Source organism: Homo sapiens, chromosome 4 (genome assembly GCF_000001405.40).
Source record: "Homo sapiens chromosome 4, GRCh38.p14 Primary Assembly".
Taxonomy (NCBI): domain Eukaryota; kingdom Metazoa; phylum Chordata; class Mammalia; order Primates; family Hominidae; genus Homo; species Homo sapiens.
Window position 1 is genome coordinate 78054151 of NC_000004.12, and position 21613 is coordinate 78075763.

General features: G+C 40.8%; 1 protein-coding gene and 1 long non-coding RNA gene across 3 annotated transcripts in view, besides 1 other annotated feature; both read left to right on the plus strand.

Annotated features, from left to right (window-relative positions):
- Positions 1759 to 2730: an enhancer, noted in NCBI's record as "H3K27ac-H3K4me1 hESC enhancer chr4:78977063-78978034 (GRCh37/hg19 assembly coordinates)". NCBI's record gives its function as "activates a minimal SCP1, AML or CMV promoter by ChIP-STARR-seq in primed H9 embryonic stem cells {active_cell/tissue: H9 hESC(primed)}" and the evidence as "EXISTENCE:reporter gene assay evidence [ECO:0000049][PMID:30033119]".
- Positions 3173 to 21613, plus strand: part of FRAS1 (Fraser extracellular matrix complex subunit 1) — a 486947-nt gene continuing 468506 nt past the window's right edge. For both annotated transcript variants that reach the window (NM_025074.7, NM_001166133.2), the window contains exons 1-2: positions 3173 to 3935; positions 11835 to 11866. In NM_025074.7, the coding sequence (NP_079350.5) occupies positions 3860 to 3935; positions 11835 to 11866 (108 nt within the window). In that variant the 5' untranslated portion in view covers positions 3173 to 3859. The remainder of the gene's footprint in view (positions 3936 to 11834; positions 11867 to 21613) is intronic.
- On the plus strand, positions 13756 to 19742 carry LOC107986293 (uncharacterized). The gene is made up of 2 exons (XR_001741746.1): positions 13756 to 14539; positions 16312 to 19742. It is a non-coding gene; the product is annotated as an uncharacterized LOC107986293 (long non-coding RNA).

Sequence of the window (21613 nt, forward strand, 5' to 3'; positions counted from 1 at the left end):
TGTGATTTGGGAGTTTGCCTGTTATGAGAGCTAGAATTTCTTGCTCTGATATGCGTTGTCAGGTACTAGCTGTCTGACTTTGGATAGATTACTTAACTCTCTGAACATCTGTTATTTCACCTGTCAATGGAAATAATAATAGCACCTATCTCACGTGGTTATTGGAGGATTACATGAGAAAGTGTACAGTGTTAGGCACAAAATATTCAATATGTGTTATCATTGTTATTATTATCGTTTACAGCAGGAGTTGATAAATAAATTCCCCAAAATGGGCAGCAACAAGGACAGGGAGTTGTGAAGAGATGACAGCAGGGCTGATCCAAGGAGATATTGTGGAACATATTAACAAAAGTTGTGGAATCTGGACTTGTAACTAAAGAGGACTGAAGATATAGACCCAAATATCTCTGGCTAGTGAATTGCCAACTTCCTATGAGGAAGCATGAAGCTGTCATTTGTGGAGGTTAACTTATAGAGATAAGCTAGTTATGATTAGGTGCATCTCCATAAACATGCTTACTAAATTTTCATCATAATGAAATATGTTAGGTTTATATAATCTCTTTTTCCAACATTTCAGTTGAAGTGAACATAGGTGTTAGATATGCCTAATATTACAGAAATATTGGTTGACCCTTTGCTCTTCCAAGTGATCTTAGGGCAAGGACTCAGGCTGCCTTCTCCCTTGACTACTTAGGGCAGAGGGAGGACTATGTGAGTGGGCCAGCATGTGCCCCTGTGGTGGACTGGTGGTCAAGGGGGGATGTTATATATAAATCCAATAAATACAGCATATGATTAATTCAGGGTAACTTGGTAGTGCTATTCTCCCTTTATTTATTGCTTTTCCTTTTTGAAAAGTAGCATATTTGCAATTAGCAAGTATAACAGATATCTTATTGAGACCTGTGCCATAATTGTATGATTTTTGGAGTGCAGTGATTATTTATAGGCGTAATCAGGGTGGACCATGGCCTCCAACTTCCAAGCTCAAGTGATCCTCCCGCCTCAGCCTCTGGAGTAGCTGAGACTACAGGTGCACCCCACTGCACCCAGCTTGATTTTTAAAATAAAATCAAATTGTTGATTTTTGAGAGAACAAACGGTTTAAGTTACTCCCATTCAGTAGCAGCTGCAAAATTAGGAGGGGGTTTAAGGGTGACCGTCTGGTTGTCAGAGTGTGTTGGAAGCTGAGTTTGAATTTGCACATCACTTTACATGGATTGAGAAGATGTCCTCCACCCCCCCGCCCCGCCCGACCTTTATTTTTGAGACAGAGTCTCGCTGTGTCACCCAGGCTGGAGTGCAGTGGTGAGATCTCTGCTCACTGCAACCTCTGCCTCCCGGGTTCAAGTGATTCTCGTGCCTCAGCCTTCAGAGTACCTGGGATTAAAGGCATGTGCCACCACACGTGGCTAATTTTTGTATTTTTAGTGGAAATGGGGTTTCACCATGTTGGCCAGGCTGGTCTCGAACTCCTGACGTCGTGATCTGCCTGCCTTGGCCTCCCAAAGTGCTGGGATTACAGGCGTGAGCCACCGCACAGGCCCTACTTTCTAAATAAAAAGGGAGGGGTCTTTTTTTGGGAGGAGGTTAAGGCCCGCAGCTCCCCTTGATATGGCCGCTGCTCTCAGGCACTTAATCCATTATTTCAACAAATGTTTAAAGAGCACCTACTATGTGCTTCAATTATACAAAGATGATACAACCTCTGTCCCTAGAATGACCACAGCCCAACAGAGAGACTGAGGGCGAAATGTGCAAACCCTGGGTCCTCCAAATACTTAAGATTCAGAGCCAGGTTGTCAGAGGTTCTCCTTTGTTCTGGCTGAATAGTAACACTGACAGGGACCTGCCAGTTTCAAGTTATTCCAGTTATTCGGAAAAGTGAATTGTTCCAAGTGGCGTCAGTGCACGTTAGAACGTGGGCCCGCGTCATGGTGTTCGTGAAGACTGGAAACAAGTGGGACCCCCGCCAGCACAGCTCATGCAACTGCTTCCCCTCCAACAGTTTCGCCCATCCCGACTCAATTGAGGGACCCGAGACGTTTCTTCTCTGGGCCAATCAGAACCCAGTCAGCATCTCTCTGATGCAACTGTTCCCTTATAAAACGATTAAACGTGGACCAGCTATTTTTATTCGGTCCTATAAAAATAGCTGCCGTCAGTCAGTCCTGGCGGGGAATCAAGGCCTCTGCTCTTCAAGTGCGCGCCCCAGTCGGCCGTGTCCTGATGTTACTTTCCCAGCCATTGGCATCTGGGGGCGCAGCTGGACCCACAGCTCCCAGACCGCGTTGTGTTCCACTGACAGAGTCTCCTAGGGAAAGGGAAAGGTGCATTTGCTCTCAGGCTCCGCCTAGGACACACACACCAAGATCTTCCCGGGCTGCTGGTAAAAGCCAGGATGCAACAGCCTGAGGGTCCCAGAGCGAGGAAGAAGGATCAATCAGGTCCCCCGGACGCACTTAGTTCAGCAGGAGTGGCGGGCTGTGGGGGTGGGAGGTAGCCCCAGGGCCTTTGATGTGGGCACACGCTCCCCCAGCCCGCCGAATCGGTTCCTCCCCTAACAAGGGATGTGGACACGGTTCATCTGCCTTCCGGTGTGCCTGAGCAAGAACTGTGCAACCTATCTCCACCCCCTCCGTCCCCGGTATGAGCACTTTTGATTCCTCCCCAGACAAAGCCAATCTGAACTCCAGCAGAATGAATAAAGGGATCAGGTTGCTCTCCCGGCCTCCCCTCACCTCCCTCCTCGCTTCTCCCTTTCCCCACGTGACTCTCTGGAATTTCGCCAAAGCTCCGAGTCTCTGGGTCCATTTTCACACCGAGCAAAGCAGAGAGGAAGGAGGCAAGGGAGACTAGAGGAAGGCTGAACGTGTGTCCTTTAAACACGGGGTCCAGACCCGGCGTATTTTGGGCGTTTCCAGGCTCTCTCGCCAGAGTGGCCTTGAGTTTGGGGGTCTTTTCCAGCCTCGCTAGCTTTTTCCTCCGTGCAATTAAAATTATGGCTCTTCTTCCACTCCCGTAATCATTGCACCTCTACCCTGCAGACCTCCTCCGGGGTGTTCAGCGCGGAGGTGGGTGTTGGTGTGCAGCAAGCCGCGTCCCCGCAGCCCTCCTCACCCAGGCGAGGGGCGGGGACGAGAAAGTAGCAGCAGCGCCCCCCAGTCTTTCCTCTGAAGCTTCCGAACAGTCTGCTTCAGGGAGCGCAGCCTGAGGCGGTGTGGTGCGGTGCGGCTGCAGGGCGGGCGAGTCCCCGGAGCTGCCCTCAGCGCTGCACAGTTTCCAGCGAGCGGACCCCGGCAGATGAGGTCTGCCGAGCCGGGTGGCTCGACCAAGGAGTGGGTGTGGGTGGGTCTTTCGGGGCTCCCGGCGACCCGCGGTGCCGACGCAACGCCGACGTATGGTGCCAAGCGAACTTTAAAAAGCTGCTTCGGACAAACCAGAGCCAGGATTTCCACTGTCGGGGACCCGGGATCGGAAGGGTCTAGCCCGAGGGAAATGCTGGAAGATCCCATCGGCCAGTGACCAGCAACTTTCCGGCGAGATTTTGACGCGGAGAACTGTGCTCTGCCTCCTCTTATTCTCCCAAAGCTCACGTTGGCGTCCTGCCTTGCGGGGGAACTCGGCGCGCTCTCTGCCTGAGCAGCGAGTGAATTGAACCCCAGCCCGCTCCGGCGCCTCCGGGCTGATGAGTGTCGCTCTCCGCCCGTCCATCTCTTTTTCCCGGAGGTAAAGGCCCGCGGTCCCCCACCTTCAGTGCGCCCGGGTTCCAAGCGCCGGAGCCAGCGTTTTGGCGGAGCCGCTTCTTGGATGCTGAAGGCTGGGCTCCTCCATCGTGGGTGCCGAGGCGGCGATGGGTGTCCTCAAAGTGTGGCTCGGGCTGGCCCTAGCGTTGGCGGAATTTGCAGTATTGCCTCATCATTCCGAAGGTGAGAGAGCGGTGCCGCGTGTGTGTGTGTGTGTGCGTGTGCGTGTGTGTGTGTATGTGTGAGTGATCGTGCAGTTTAAAAATCTCAGCAGGTTTTATGGTATTTCGGTGAGGTGGAAGTTTTTCTGGGAAGGGTGAGGTGGAAGTGAAACTGGAATAGGCTTTTTCTGATAAGATTCCTACTCCTGATTGTTTTGTATTCGGATTACACCCCCGAAACGGCCTCCCTCTCTGCCCTAAGTGCTTTTGGGTGGGTGGGTGGCCGATGGAGGTGACATCTCTGAAACTGATCCTTTTTCTTTCCACCACCTACCTTTCCCCGAAGGGAAAGCAACTGCATGGAGCACAGGTGAGGAGCGAACAATTGCTCTTACCTGTTTAAAAATACTTCTGTTCCTAAGAAACATACAGTCTTTCATCTTAAAGCCCCATCGCTCTCCCGCCCTCCTTACCTCAGTTAGTCTCCCCCTAAAGTCCAGTTAGGATTTTATAACTAACTGGTTGGAGCGTGTTCTGGTCGTGGGCAGTTCAGTTGCACTGAAAGAAATCTCTCCAGTACGGAGAAGCACGAACCAGCCTGCTTCCCAGAACAAAAGTGGTTAATAAGAGTTTAGGTTCATTCTTTTACTTCACCCTCCGCCTCCTGGTTTTCCTCCGAGGCTCCAAGCTACCTGTAAAACCCCGGAGCCGCAGGAGAGAAAAGGAAGCCGTGAGACTAGTTGTCGCCATGATATCAAATGCAATCCGGGCTCAGCCAAATAAATGAGTCAATAAGTAAATCAAGAGTTTGGGGTCATGGGATGCCGGGCCTGGGGACGCGAGGCGCTGTGAGCTCCCTCCTGCTCCGAGGAGCCAGGGAAGTCGCCCCGCCAGTGCTTAGGGAGGGGGAAGGGAGCCGGCGGGCTGGGAGGAAGACGGCTTAATCCACAGCGCCTGGCTCTCGGCTTCCCCTCCCGGCTCCATTCATTATTCATCCAGCTGCGGGAAGAAGAGTTCACCTGCCCAGCCGCAAACCAGAGCCGCGGCTGGGCGGCGGCGGCGGGCGCAGGGCGGGCCGCCTTCTCCGCCCTGGTGCCTAGGAAGGGGCGCGGGGCGGCTCCCGGGAGTCGAGCTCTGGCGCAGGACTGGGGGCTGCGGGAGGCCCGGGGAGGACAAAGCTCTGCCTCGGGTCGACCTCCAGTCACTGGAGCAGCTGCCTTTTCTTTGCTGGCTTCCCAAGAGAAAGGCCTTGGGAATCCACGCACAAGGGTGGGGGACTTTCCCGTGGGTCCAGGTGCTGCCTTCTGCACTCTTCCGGGATGTGTGTCAAGTGTGTATAATCTCCGCGAAAGGCACATCTGGGGCCTGTGCAGCCTTCTCCCAACAGTGCAAGTCCTGTAGAAATATAACTTTATTGTTTATGTGCGTGTGGGCGCGTACTTTGGAAAAAAAAAAAAAAAGCTTGTAGGGCTTGATTATAACAATAAACCAGATGAGAGAGTCACCCCAGGCCACCCAAACCTGAACTTGGTACTTAGAAAAATTAATTTCACTTGGTGGCAGTTTTTAAAATTTAGAGTCCTATCCCAGCAACGCAGGAAACGTGCTATCACTCCCGGATAGCTCACCAGGGGGCAGTTGGAATGGTGCAGCTTGTCGGAACCAAAACTCTGAAATCAACAAAAGGCATTATTATTAAGAGCCTGCAGGGTGCGCTCTTTGGCAGATTGCTTGATCCAGTGGGCCAAGTTTAAGAAGTGCGGAATCTAGACTGGGAGGTGGGGATGGGGGGATGTGAAGCACAGAAAGCTGGGGGTAGAGACGGGGGGCGGGGGCGGGGGCGGAGAGAGGGTGTGGATATTACTCCAAAGAGTCTTTGGAAACTTTGCTTCTTATTGTTTGACTTTACTGTCAGAGCATTCTATAGCTGTTTCACAAATTGGATTGATAAATTGATAGATGTCTGAGTTTCCACCCACGTCATAATGGTGCTTATCTAATAATGAATGAATGAATGAATGAACATGGCCATTTATTGAGCAGGTATTGTTTGCCTGGCTCTTTGCTAAGCACTTTACATACTTTATCTCATTTAATTAGTTTAATTAAGTGATATCACTCCCACAGACAAAAAAACATTTGTCATCTGATGAGACCTCTGGTTTGGTCCTCTCAAGGTTTTCTTTTTCTTTAAAAAATAAGAGCATTGAGATCAAGGTTGGAAACCTCAAGGATCTTAGAAATCTCCTCAAGTTTTTATTATCAGCCTAGAGAATAATTTTTAAAAATAGAAAAGAGACATTCACATGTATACTTCTTTTGATGGGATGTACCTTGTGACACCTTTGCTGACCAGCTTATGGCAGAATTTGTCGTTTTCTTCTCAGTGCACAGAGAGAACAATTGTGGTTGGTATGGGTTTGGTCTTCCTCACTTAGCTGTGTGCTTATTGAGGGGTTAGGATGGCTCCTATTAATTCTGATATCTTCAGTTCAGCTCCTAGTATACACTAAGTGCTCAAAAAATTGGTCAGATGAACAGTATTGCCAAATTATATTATTTTGAATTAAGCTTAACTGGTGGACTGGCCTCTGATTAGCTCACTAACCTTGAATGAACCATCTAACCTCTTTGCGCTATAGTTCTGTCATTTACTAAATGAGGTACATTACGTGATAGCTCTAAGATACTTTGGCTAATCATCAAACATAGAAGAAAAAGAGATCAGTATTTGCTGCATTATTAGTGGTCAATTGCAATTTTCTGGTTCTAAATTTTATTATTTTTATTATTTTTTTTTTGAGGCACAGTCTTGCTCTATCACCCAGGCTAGAGTGCAGTGGTGCAATCTCAGCTCATTGCTGCCTCTGCCCCCTGGCCTCAAGCGATTCTCATGTCTCACCCTCCTGAGTAGCTGGGATTACAGATGTGCGCCACCATGCCCAGCCAATTTTCACATTTTTAGTAGAGACAGAGTTTCACCATGTTGGCCAGGCTGGTCTTGAACTGCTGACCTCAAGTGAACTGCCTGCCTTGGCCTTTTAAAGTGCTAGGATTACAGGTGTGAGCCACTGTGCCTGGCCTCTAAATTTTATCAAAAGAAATATCAAAAGAAAAATAAATTTTTACAAGCAAATTATTGGCAGTGTTATTTTATATGGCCTTATATTGCTAAACTGGTAAAGTATTAATGCTATGACTTGAGAACTTAATAAAATCAAGAAGTCACAAAGAAGCTTCTAACATGGCTGCTTTCTGAATCACAGAAACTCTACCATGGCTTTTTCTGGAGAAATATCTTGAGTTCTGTTGACATATGGAAGTCCTGTGAAGTTACAGTAGATAAGACAGTTGCCTTGGGATAGGGAAACATCATTGAATTGGAGGTTAAGAGAATTGAGCTTTAGTCTGTGTCCCATCACTCTCCATGTGATTTTAGCCATTCCCACAAACGCTGAATCCCGGGTTTTTCCTATAAATGCTATTTAACAGGTTACATTGAAGAGGCTCATTTGATAGACAATATGTTTTATTTATGGGTGAGTTAGGGTAGTTGCACTCTGGGCTGCAGAGTTGTTTCACTGAGAGACTCTATGCTTGAAACTCAATAACTCAATGTTGGGAAGAGAAGAACTTGGCTGGAAAAAAGTAACCTAATTCTTTTATTCTGCAAGCCTTTATTGAGAGGTTCTGTGTCAGGTTATGTCCAGTAGGTGGGTACAGACATCAAAACCAAAGCCAAAAAAACCTCCTGCGCTCAAGGAGTTTGCATATCTAGAAATCATTAATGTCAGTTGAATAGCAGTAGGGATATGGGAACATTTGGTCCTTGGTGGGTTTCTCAGTATGGAAACGTTAGATGATGGTTGTAACTTTGCATCCTTTGGCTTTTGTAATTACCTGGCAATGGAAATAAAGAGGTGTTGTTGTGGACTCTTATTTTCATCAATTATATTTCCATTGCCCTCTGAAGATTGGATTCTGGGCATTACTCTCCTTATATAGTGTACATCCTTTAGTAAGGACCCAGCCATCCGTATTCACTGTTATGGACTTGGGTGGCAATGTCACCCAACTGTACTCACACAAGTAGTCATAAAATATTCTTTAACACATGGCTCAGAGTAGGGGAGGGGACTACCACATGTCAAAGTTGGAGCCTCATGCCAAATCTTACCGTAGTTCCAAAACAGTTGGCCCACTTTCATTTTAACTACTCTATTAATTGATCTAAATCCTAGTTGACAATAATCAGGACATGAGCTGTCCTGTCAGTTCAGAAAATGATTCTATTTTAAGTATTCCACAGTGCACACAGCCATATGCTGAATTATAACACAACATAAAGCCTGAACATTTAAATGCCAACTTGTGGCTGCTTGTTCCTAATGAGTCATGTTCTTGTGGTACCATGCTCTCCAAATCTTTTTGTATCTTAATGGTTGTATCTGCCACTATTTCTTTGAACTAATGGGTCTGACATTTTGTGGTGCTTGGATTTAACTTCTCTAATTTACTCAGTTTACCAACGGTTTCAGAATATATGCAAATTATATCTCAAAATTTCTCCAAAAATACTAGATTTTATACAGTCATCTCATAAAGGCGTATATTATAATGTGCAAAAGGGATTAAAAACAGACATTTACTTGTTTAAATTTTATGCAGTAACGTTTTTTCTGTGTGACCTGCAAGAAATGAGCCAGCCACACAGTAAAAGAGCAGCTCAGGTCTCAGGATCTGGGCTTCCTTCTTGACACTATAAAATTACTTCACCCTGCAAAACTTTATGCTCTTTCTCACAGGTTGTGAGGTGTTAGAACTTAAATTACCTGGCATCTCAGCTGCATTCTGTGCCTTGAAATTGGCATTGTTCATAGTTAGAGAACTACTCCTGTTGTCTCCGGTTTTTCCTCAGTTTTCCTTTGAGGGAGGCTCATTTCTTCTTCTAGATCAGCACTCTCTCACAGAATTCACCTTGAGCTGGAATTTTCTTTAAAGTTCCCTGCCATAAATATAAACGTCAAATAGACCTGCAATCATTCTTGTACTCCTGAAGAAAAAAAAATAATGAGTCGAGAGATGAATTTTGTTTTCCATATTATGTGAACTGACGGATTAGTGAAAAGACCTCCACTCTGGCTTTCAACCAGAAGCTACACCCAGTACCCATGTCAACAAACCCCTCAACTTCATCTGCTGGTGGGTGTGTGAGAGAAATATGCTTCCTTTGGATGCTGCATCTGGTATTGGGTGATGATAAATGTTTGATAGAACTGGGCATCACACTGGAATGCTTTTTTTCTCAAGAGAGTAGAAATGAGGTTTTGGAAGCTGTGTTAATGGAGGCTCATTCATGCAGCTGCCTTCCAGGTAGAACTGTTCTGTTTTAGGAAAGCTCTCAGAGGGCAAAGCTTATTTCTTTTGGAATTGTACAATACAAAGCAACCCAAATTGAATTAATTCCTTTTCCTAATGATATAATTTTTCAGCAGCTCTACACCATTTTGGCTTGAGTCTCCAGCAGATGCATGGCTTGCCCAGGTATAGATGTGGTGCCACACTCAGTGCTACTTTATTTTTTTCATACTGCAGTGAGTTTATCATGGCTATCTAAACTTCCAAAAATAGGTTTTGATATGGGTACTCAGATACTTCTTAAGGTGCTTGATTTCCTTTGGAGCTTTGAAAAGAAATTGACTTTGGAAGGTAATGCTGTGGAGAGCAATAAAATTATTTGAGGATAGTCTTATTTTAAAGATTAAATTTTGTTTGTGTTTTTTCTAAAAGTTAAGTTTTGTTTAATCTAAAGTTTAAATTTTGTTAAATTGTACCTAAGTGATGATGATCTTTATTCTAAATTTTCTAAACACCAGAAATAATTAAATATGTCCATATAAGTAATTTAGAAAGTGAATTGTGTTCATATGTATTTATTTGAGATATATAGAATTATTTTAGTACACACATCACACACATACATATGTACACATATATATATTTCCTTTCTTATAACATACCATAGACTGAACTACTAAGTCTTGGAACAAGATTTCTTAAGGAAAAAGTAGTCAATTAAGAAGAATTTTCCTTCAAGGTTTTATCTCAAGTTATTCTTATTAGAACTTAAAGAATAATAATAAAAATAAATAAATAAATAAAATAAAAAAATAGGGAGTGTCTATAAAATCATTCATTTATAGACACTCCCTATTCCTTTCTTTCATATGTATAGAAATAAATTCCTTTTTTCATATGTACAGAAATTTTAATAAATATTAATGCCATGGCTAGAAACTATTTTAAAGTAAAATAATAAGTTTGTGTAAAATATAAACTCAAAAATGACATATTTATATTAATTATCCTATGTCTGCAGAGGAAGAAATACAAACCATTAAAAGTTGGAAATGTCATTAGGAGAAAGGCACAAGGGTGTCATAAATTTATAATTTTTGCTTATACATATGCCTTGTACTTAGCTAATGTGATGCCTTCATATTCTGGGTGAATTATATTAAAACACCAATAAAATTGTTGTATACCAAGAAAAAAAAAAAGAATATCAGGGACATAAAAATTATTTCAATAAATTTGCCCACAGAGATCTTTGATTCAAACCTAAGTGTAAATAGTCATCTCAGTTTTTTTAAAGATTGTTCTTAATTCCATTACTGGAGGAGAAGGTAGACCAATTCTTTCCTGAGAAGTTAATATTATTGGGACTTCATAAATGATCCATTAGAGGTAAGCACTGTGGTAAAATAATGTCCTTCTCTCTTTAGAAACCAACTGTGTGGAGCATTGTTAAGATATGCTTCACCTTGGTGTGTATATACTGTTCAAATGTGTTTTGCAGACTCAGTTTCTGAGAGAGTAGGTGACAGCACACTGCCCATCTCTTTCTAAGTTAAATCAAGACCTGTTGTGCAGCTCAAAAATTGGTTGGGAATGTGTCTATATTTTTTTTAAGTTAAGATTTCAGTTTTATAGTGTATATATATATATATATATATATATACATACACACACACACACTAAATACTACATATGCTATTTATACTATATATTATATATATACTATATATAGTATATAGTGGGTATATATGTATATATATGTGTATATATGTGTATATACTATATATGTACTATATATGGTATATAGTATATAGTGGGTATACATGTGTATATATATGTATATACTATATATGTAATAGTATATATGTAATGGTATATATAGTGTATATATTCTCTCTATATGTAGTACACACACACATATATATAATGTAGTGGGGTAAATACAACATTTCAACATCCTTAGAAAGGAAATACACAAGAATAAATTCACAAATGGAGGATGTAGGCACAAAATGCTAGGAGCTCAGAGGAGCATAATCTGGTGGGCAGAAGTTTCACAAAGGAGATGGGATCAAGTTCAAAGAGCTTGACTAGACAAAGTACATCTCCTGTAGAAAATGAAAATGAGCAAAGGCATTGAGACATGTAAATATATTACAGGATTCTAAGTTGGCCTCTTGGGTTGGACTGGAGGCTTAGTGTAAGCAAACAGTGGCAGGGAAGCCTGGATAAGTAAATGGGACTGGATTATGGAGGCTTTGCTGACTTATCACCAAGAAAAATATTTACTGTATTTATAGCATGTCGTTATAAACACATTTATCTTAAAATTCAAGTCATAAGTTTTAATGATGCTTTTCCTCATGTGTGTCCAAGGAATGTTGTTTTGGTGTATGGGGTTATTTCCCCAGGGGAAGAATGCTGAAGCTTTTAAGATTTTGGAAGAAGCTCATTTTCCTGGTTATGATGCATATAGATGCAGTTTTAGCAGCAAGCTTGCTGGGGCAGTGCCTATTGGTTTATTATGCATCCCTTTTAATTCTTGTTTTGTTTTTCCCCACAGGTGCTTGTGTCTATCAGGATTCCTTGTTGGCGGTAGGTCATTCTTTACATACTTGGTTTCTGTCATTTGAATGTAAAATGCTTGATTGAAGTTCCTGAGTGAGTGAGTTGACCCTATCATTGTAGAATATGTTTATTTTTCTTCAACGTTTGACAATTAGCCCTCATTCGGGCACAATGATGCTCAATTATTTAATACCTTTTCCAGAGTGAATTAGTTCTATTCAGATACTCAGGTATTGGAAGAGAAATTCAAACACTCAACACACGATTTACATTCTGTGGCTGTTCTTTGTGTTCTTTTAATCAGAGAGAAAATTAGATCCCATCCTTTTGTCAGATACAAACTGAAACACAATTTTTTAACTTCTGGTTGCATTTGCTTCCCACTTTGAACCCTTCTCCAAAAAAAGTATGATTATTAAATTAAGTAGAATAGGAAGGATTTCTGTTGTTACTTTGAATTATAAACTTAAGTTTTGGTGAACAGCAAAGAAATTAACATTTATTTCTGAACTCTTGCCATATAGGGTAAAATTGATTTTGAATTTAATGTCAGAATGACTTGGGGGAAAGGCTGATGTAAGTCTCATGCATTTCTTTTCATTACTAATGCACTATGGTGCATAACAGTGTGTTAAAGCCTTATTGAAAAGACTGTCTACACTCCATCAACTCTAATAAATGGTGTGACAAATCATTCTTCACCATGTTTTTATTTTGGTTTAATAAATGCTATAATAAAACTGAACTGAGATGGTTGGAAAGAATTTGCTCATTTACATCACAACCTGCTATTGACATGTGTGATATTGATAAGTCATCCTGGATTATCCTTGTGGTATTGAAATAGCTGAGGAATATCTGAAGTATCTTAGAGTCTAGATAACTGTAGATATTCACCATAATATCCTTGAATCTGCACTTTATATACTGTAGTTACTGCTGGAGAAGTTTATTTTTTAAATATTTTTCTATCAAAAATTAGGAAAAAGCCATTTTTATTGTATTTGTCATTCCATATCCTGCCCTGTTTATTCTTTAATATATTTTAGGAATCATTTGCTCTAAAATATATTATCACTTTTGGGGAGCTACAGTAGATATTTAGACAAGTCAGTTATCCGTGCTAATAAAAGAGAATTATTTATTGTGTAGAGTACTTCATAACTTTTCCATATATTTTCATAAGTATTCATATGTCTGATACTTATAATAGACCAATGAAATAGGCAGGCCATGTATCATTCCATACTCTTTCCCCTTTTAATGGAAAAGATGAGAGAGAGAGATGAAGAGATTTGCTAGAGGTAATTCACCATTAGTGGTGGACCAGAACAAGACATCCTGTCTTCTTCTGTTGTTCTGCCTATATGTGAAAAAAAGTGGCTAGACCATCTTCTATATTTAACTTTGCTATGTGTTATTGTACATTTGAATATGAAAGGATCAAGTAATTGGAGAGGTCAGTTTGATCAAGTTAAAAGGAGAAACAGCCCAGCCAACTTGAATTTATTGGATGACCTTGCTTCCCTCTGTACCATGCCCTAGCTGATCCCAGGGCTCATGGCTGCTCAAGATTAGTGGGCTGCACCCTCCCACACCAGCACGCTCCTCATTCTTCCAGGTGACTTCTTTGCTTACCAAGGCTCTGCTACATTTGTTTCTTTTTCTTTTTTTTTCTTTCTTTTATTATTATTATTATTATTATTATTATTATTATTATTATTTGTAAGATAGGGTCTCGCTCTGTCACCCAGGCTGGAGTGCAGGGATCTTGGCTCACTGCAACCTCTGCCTCTAGGGTTCAAGTGATTCTCCTGCTTCAGCCTCCCAAGTAGATGGGACTACAGCTGCACACCACCACACCCAGCCAATTTTTTTTTTTTTTTGTATTTTTAGTAGAGACGGGGTTTTGGCATGTTGGCCAGGCTGGTCTTGAATTCCTGATCTCAAAGTGCTGGGATTACAGGCATAAGCCACTGAGCCTGGCCTGCTACATTTGTTTCTGAACCTCTTCAAGCCTGAGATACTTGTTATTGTAGTTATGCAATTCAGTCTGAGAGACAATATATTTATTACAATAATAAAATTATTAAACAAATATTTATTGAATGACAATTAGAGACCTGCTATTCTATGCACTGGAATGCATCTGTGAACAAACAGATGAAAATGCCTGCCTTCATAGAGCTTGAATTCTAATAAGTAAAATATATAGAATGTCAGATAGGTGGGCTATGGGGAAAAATATTGTGGAGGTGGAACGGATAGAAAAGGCTCAATAGGGGATGAAGGTGGCTACTTTAGATAGGGTGATAGGGAAGGCTTCACTGAGAAGGTGACATTTGATCAAAGACATACTGAAAGAGGTAATTATAAGGAGCTAGCCTGGTGGATACCCAAGGGGAGAGAATTCCAGAGATAGGGAGCAGAAATGTAAAGTCTGAAGCAAGAGCTCCTATGGGCATTTGAGGCAGTGCATGGAGGATGGCAAGAGATAGGTCAGGGAGGATGGCAGGGGTCAGAGCATGGTGAGCCTTGTGCAGACTTTAGCTTGTCCTTTCAGGAAGGTGGATGAGCCATTGGAGGTGCCAGAGAGGAGGAATGGCAACACTGGACTTATCATCTAATTAAACTGCTGAAATGAGAGTGTGCTTGTTTCCAGGGAAACTATATTAAATACTTTAAAAAGACTCCATAGGGGTGAGTCACTAAAAAATTTCTGTCAAATTAAGTGTAGGAAAAACAGCTGTACAAGATTGAGAAAATATTTCAAAATCTAGAGAGATTCTGCATTCGGGTTTATTTGTAACCACTTTAAGTTCTCTTTCCATTTTAAGGACAATGAAACTGGAAATGGTAGATGATGCATTGTGGACTTGGTTTATTATCTACATCATTCACTGCTGCTCTCTCTCCACATGCCCTAGCGTTAAAGAAAAGCATTGTGTCTACATCAGTGAAATTGGAGAGTGAATGTATGTTCATGTATTTTGAATTGAAGGGTTCAAGAACATTACTATATGATTCTAGGATTCTCTGATTATACAACTTTTTGGGTGACAAAGGCTTCTAGTGTAAGAGGCGTCATTTTCAAGAGCTGGCTCTGAGAATAGTGATTGGTGTCCCTGTTCCAAACTTTGTAATTTTACCCACATGCTCACTGTTTTAGAGGTAGAAGTGACTTGAGAAATCTCTTAGTCCAGACTGTCCATTTTATGGATGAGGAAACTGGGGCAGGGATGTTAAATTCTTTAGGTTTGTTCATCTCCCAGGTGAGTAACCAGAAGTAGGTTATTCTGGTTGAAAATGGCAAAGCCTCAGCTTCACCCAGAGTTCATAAAGCATATCAAGCAAATGAGAGCATGGATTTAGGCACTTGCTGCTAGTATTACGCTAACTCTCAGCCTGTCTTGTGAGGATTCCTCTCACTGATTCCTTTCAATCTCTTCACTCATTGCTTAGGAAGCTGCCAGATACAGTGGAACAGTCATGGCCCTGGCGGTCAGACACACCTGGTTTTGACCCTTCCTCTTCTGTTACAAACCAGCTCTGTGACATAGGGCAAGTTACATCATCTCTGGAACCTCTTATTGCCCCGATGTGAAATGAGGACAAAGAAAGCCTCTCCTGAGGGTTGTTGCAAAGACGATAATATGGGAAAGACACCCAGGTGCAATGCATGGCATGTGCTTTTCTGCCATAACACAATTTCTCCTTAGCAACCAAGAAGAACAAGAGGAAGGGCCAGTTGTTAAGCACCTACTATATATTTAATACTCAACAAACCCAGGAAATAGTTTTTTTTTTTTTTTTAACTTACTTTACAGATAAGGAAGTTGAGGCTCAGGAAGTAGTCAATTGTCCAAAGTTACATAGTAAGTCCTAGTGGAAAAGAGAGTTCAAACCTGGTTCTTATTCTTAAGTCATTTGATCAAGCATTCTATTTCTCACAACCAAGTCAGTCCACTTGTTGTCTCTGAACACAACTAGCTTACTTCACCACCTTCGGTCCCATATGCCCACCCCCTCCCTGCCGCAACTGCCATGCAGTTGTCTCTGCCAGTCTCTGTCCCTGACCTCCTGCTAAAGCCAGCTGTCCCTGGCTAACCCCTTCCCATTTAACTGAGGCTGTCCTGCACTGGCGTGCACCAGATTCACTATGTGATGCAAAACATGTTTAGACAGGCATGTCATCTTAAAAACATACAATGTACAGTGTATTATGTACTATATATGTTTATATATGTGTATATATGTATATAAGTGTATATATATATATATATATACCTCCCCCCACTTTGTATTGTGTTGTGTTTCCCCAATTTTTGACAGCTGTTTGGACTTGCAGTGACATCCTGGGTGATTAAGTCCCAAGCATGTGTAGCCATCTCTAAATTATGGACTGATTTCAGCTCTCTCCCTTCTCTTTTCTTTAACAATCTTCTGTAACTTTCTCTTCTTTTTATTCCTAGAGTAAGAAATGACCAGAAGGGACTAAAAATAACTTGAAAAACACTGAATAATCTATTTTGGGGTGTGTTTCTTACTCCATAATACCCATGCACCCCTGGGCTCACAAGACTTTCTCTAAAGTCAGCCCTTGTGGAACACAGCGTGACTGTTAAATCAGGAATCCATCAGAGGGAAACTACCTAGGTAATAGGTTTAACTGTGATGTCCAGTGTGAGGAGGAAAATTAATTTTTCATTTCAAAGTTTTCACACACCTTCTGTTCTTTTCCAACTATATCAAGTATTGAAAAAACTCTCCTTTTGCATCACCACAAGCAAACACATATCCTTTTGAAAGTTCTTCCTGGGATCAATGACTTGACTCTTCACTTCAATTTTTCTGTCTGTGAAATGGAGATGAACTATTTACTTCTCAGGACTGTTGTGAAGCTTAAAGGAGATGAACATGAAGCAACTCGTCCAGTGCTGTGACTTACAGTGCTCAATAAAGGTTGGCTGCTATTATTGTTGTTCTATAGCAGTGACGACTGGCAAGGTTGGATAAATGACTCTTCTTCCCTGGATCAAAAGTGTTAAGTGTTGGGATTTTCCTACTTGGGATACTTTTGCTGAGAAATGCTGACAAAGTGAATCACAAGGCACTAACTCTTAGCAAATTTGAAAGAATATTTTTCAAGGATAATTTAAAAATGTGGAATGTTGACTATATATAACACTGCAGGAAAATCCAGGCTTTGGAGTTTGAATCTTGGCACCACTACATACATGCTGTGTGGTCTCAGATATAATACTTTATACAGCCAGGTGTCACTTTCATTATCTACTTAATTGGGATTATATTTCTCCTAGGTTTGATGTGACAGTTAACTGAGAACATACTTGTGAAAGAACCCAGAACTGTCCCTGCAAGGAACACGTACTCACATCATTCAGGTGGTAACAAGATGTCGGAGTAGAAATGAGTGAGTTATAGAGTCCAGGGTCTTGGTTCAGGTTCTGGCCCTGTAATTACTAGCTGTATAGCTTGGAGTAAGTCACTTGAATGAAATGAGGTCTCAGTTTCTAAATTAGTAAATTAAGAGAGTTAGGTTAGCTTTTCTCCAAGATTCCTTAGCCCAGTATCGTGTAGTAGAGCTTTCTGTGATGATGGGAATGTTCCATAGCTGTGCTGTCCAGTGTGGTAGCTACGAGCCACATGTGGTTATTGAGTACTTGAAGTGTGGCTGACGATACTGAGGAACTGAATTTTAAATTTCACTTAATGTCAATGAATTAAAGTTTAAATTTGAGTAGCCACATATAGATAGTGGCTACTATATTGGACAGTGCAACATTAGAGTTTTAAAATTCTTAACGTACTCTAGTACTTAAAATACAGCCTCATGAATGGTTCTCACCCTGGGTGGAAGCTTACTGGAGTACTTTTAGCAGTTGTGAGAAAAGTAATACAAAGTTTGTTATAGTACCTAAGTTTGCTGTTTTTGTTTGTTTATATAATTTGAACAGTTTTGAAGTCAACACAGTTACAACACTACTCTCTCCATATTGCTAAATATGTTTTCTTTTTTGTTGTCGTGGTTTTTTTTTTAAACCAAGCAATTGTTATGGATCAATGCTTTCTTGAATAAAAGAAAAGGAGTAAAATTACAGTTAATTGTACATATTCCATTAAAAATTTTATAAATTTTTTAACTCATGGGAGTGTTATCCATCATTTATATTAGAGCAGAAAAAGATTTGAGAACTTCTGGTCTAATCTGTAGACCTTGTATATTAGGGCTAAGGAGGTTTAAGGGAGACCATTAGAGCTCTTCAATGTTAGAGTCTTTTTAAAAATTGGTGTGCTATAGTGTTACTTTTTAAAACTTGAAACAGTTAACACACAAGAGATAGCCCTGTAGAAATGAAAATGTCTCAGAACTGCTTTGTCCTTGTATTCATCAACGTGCTCAAGAGATTTTGTGGAGAAGAGAAATGAAAATTTGGAAGCTTTCCCTATTCAGTGTTTGAAATCACCACAAACAATTAGTGAATGGTGGCTAGTGGCTGCTGTTGAAACATCTTGAACTTCTCCAGCAGTGGGGAGAATACTTGGTGTCCTGAGGATGCACTCAGCGGGGAAGCAATACAATCAGCCATTCCTTAATTTCCCTAAAGGTATTGGGTAATTTCTTAATACCCTTGTATTGAATATTGTAGGATATCACCATTTTAAGTTATAGTTTAGCAAAAATTCATCATTTTTTATGCCTCTGGTCTTTATTTTAAAATACGGAGTAATATGCTTTTAAATGGGGGATGCCACTCTTTATTAAAATGTACTTATTTTGTGATAAAAACTTATTTTTTTTGCAACACATCCTTACTGTGCTAGGTGTTGTCATAAATTTAGCAAGGTAATGAGCTCCTTTAACTAGAGATATTCAAGTTGAGACTAGACAAACAGAATCGGGATGAGTTAGCAGTGGCAGGCTTTTCTGATTTGGGTTCTCACCTGTGGATAGAAGGTTAGAGCTGTGTGTTTCCGCCTAAGGAAAGAAGCCCTTACAGAAGGTGAAAAAAATCTCCTGGCACTAGAGTGTGCAGTGAAGGGTTTCTCCCCATTTAGTTCCTCAAAGGGAGTAACTTTGTACCTTTAAGTGTCAGGTAGTGAGAATTGGGCTCTAGCTGTCTCTGAGAATTTTTTTGTCCTTGCTGGGTTTTTATAAATTGTCCATCATAATTAGATGTGCTGGTTTCCTATTTGGGAATTTATATGTTCTTAGAATAATTGTATGAGAGGAATAATACAAGAGATTTTGTACTTTTATTGATGAATAATCCATATGCATTTTTATTCTTATTCATATTTGTGTGGTAGGAACAGATGTTTTAAGTTAACAAACACATTTCTTATGCTTTGTTTTGAATTTAGAAGATGCAGTTGAGCTTGGAAGCCATATTAATTTGCTCAAACTATGTTACGTTTTATCATATATCTCAATTTTCTGGTCACACCATACACTTCCCTCACTTTTTCTTAAGTTTGTGACATTTTCACACCAAATTGTCTTACAACTTGATATTTTTATTTATTCTATTTCTCTGTTTATAACTACAAAGTACATACATATGTTTATTTTCTATGTGATACATTTATATATGCATGTGTATATATGTATAAATCCCCATAATAGAACTGTCACTAATTTATGACACCTTATGGTATTATCATGTTATAGTTTAGTTACTTTTAGAAGTTCTCTGCTTACCAAGGGAAAGATAATATATAAATATCAAATGACAATTGAGTTAAGCCAGCTTATGTTTTTCTGAAATTTCAGTTACAAATGTCTGAAGAAAAGTTGACTTTGAAAATTTTATGTGGATGACATTTTGTTTCTGTGACACTTAAACATAAAATTGGCACAAAATAAAATTTTAAAAAATAACTGAGCAGTTTTATGTAAAAGAGGCATATAGCTTCTGGTGTCCCAGCTAAGTTCTTTTAGCAATGATTTCTTAGGTTCCCAGAGTTTATAAGCTAAATGAAAGGAAGAAGGAGAGGGACAAGCTTTCACAGGAAGAAATGGTTTATTGTTAGTACCCAGGAGGCTCTTGAGTTTGGGTCGTGACCTGTGAGTTCTTTTCTGACAGCTCCCAAGATTGGATATTTATTAAATTTATGTCATTTCTTTCCTCCAAAGGGAAATTGAATGGGTGGGGGTGGGATCAGGGAGGGGAGGGTGTCTGCATTAGAGAGCAGATTTCATTGCTCTTTGTACCTTCCATTCTTGAAATGGTTCAGTAATAGTGAGCAGGAGGGAATTATTAACAGAAATAGACACTCATTCTTTGGTGTTCTTACTGTATTGAGTTTCCCTATAATCTAGAATAAACTTGATCTAAGAGATGAGAATTCAGGAACAGAAGAAATATGAAATTATTGGCTAAAAAGAAGCCTTTCCCTCTTATATTTGCTGTAGATATGTGTAGTAGTAGTGATCCAACTGGATTCCAAAGACATTTATTGATCAAATTCTGTGTTAGACCCTGTGATTGGATCTATGGAGAATACCAAGATTAATAAGATATTAGTTGGAACCCAGGAACACCCTGCTTAGCCAGTAGTCCCTTTTTCCCTTTTCTGTGTTGGCAGAGTCCTGATTTTGTTGCAGTTTCCCACCCTTTCCTAGTTGTGAGCGAATCAGGAAATTTATATCCCTTTGCCAGGGATTGGTTTAGGACTGAGTGTGACTTGTGGCCAATGAGATATGTGTGGAACTGCTAATATTGTTGGGTGTTTGAAAGGACCCCATAAATAGCACCTTCCTTCCCTCAGTTCTGAACAAGTTGAGAAATAAAACAAAGAATAAATACAGAAGTCAAAATATCATCCTTTTATCTTTTAACCGATAAGCTAAGTTGGAGGATATAGCTTCAGTTCTCTTAGCCAATGGGGTTGCTGGTTCTGACCTCAGAATTGGGAAGAGTTAGGCATTCACAGACAGAGCCTTGCTGAGGCAGCTTTCCCATGCAGAAGGGCTGATAAGGCAAGAACTCCGGTTTCGTATGCTCTTGGTTGACAGGCTTGCTCCCTGGAAGAGGAAAGAAGACAGAACTGAGTTAAACATGCCTAGCTGCTCTTTTAAATTTACCAGTTAGATAAATCATGCCACCATCCTGGGGATAAGAAAGGCCTGGAGTTATGTGTTGATATCCCTGCACCTCAAGGGTGGGAAACAAGAATTCTCCATTAATAGAAGATTTTGAAGCTTAGTCTTTAAGCTTTGGGACATGAAAACATGATCTCTGGAGGTGCTGCAACCATTAGAATACCTAGCTGACACACAGAAGTTGATAGGGGAGAAAGATGGGAGACTTTGATTCCTTGAGGAGTTGGTTATTTGATCTGCTGACTTAACCAGCACAGGAACTGACCTTCCTGGGGAATTATTGTATGAGCTCAAAAGTTCCCTCATTGTTTAAGCCAATATAAATTGAATTTTATGTTACCGCAGCCAGCAGCAGTCGACCCAATACCCTATAATCAGATATTGAACTCAGTACAAAGCAGTTTGGGATAAGTGTCAGTAGGTAGAAGGGCAGCACCATGGTGAAGTGGCAGAGCTCCAGATTCTTGGATTTAAGTCTGAGCTCTTCACTACTGTGTGACTCTGGGCAAGTTACTTACCTTGTCTTTAAAATAGAGATAATAGTTGTGCCTATATTACAGAGCTGCTGCAAAGATAAATGAGTAACATGTGAAAGTACTTGGAATATAGTAAATAGATGCTCGCAATTGAGAATACTCTTATTCCAG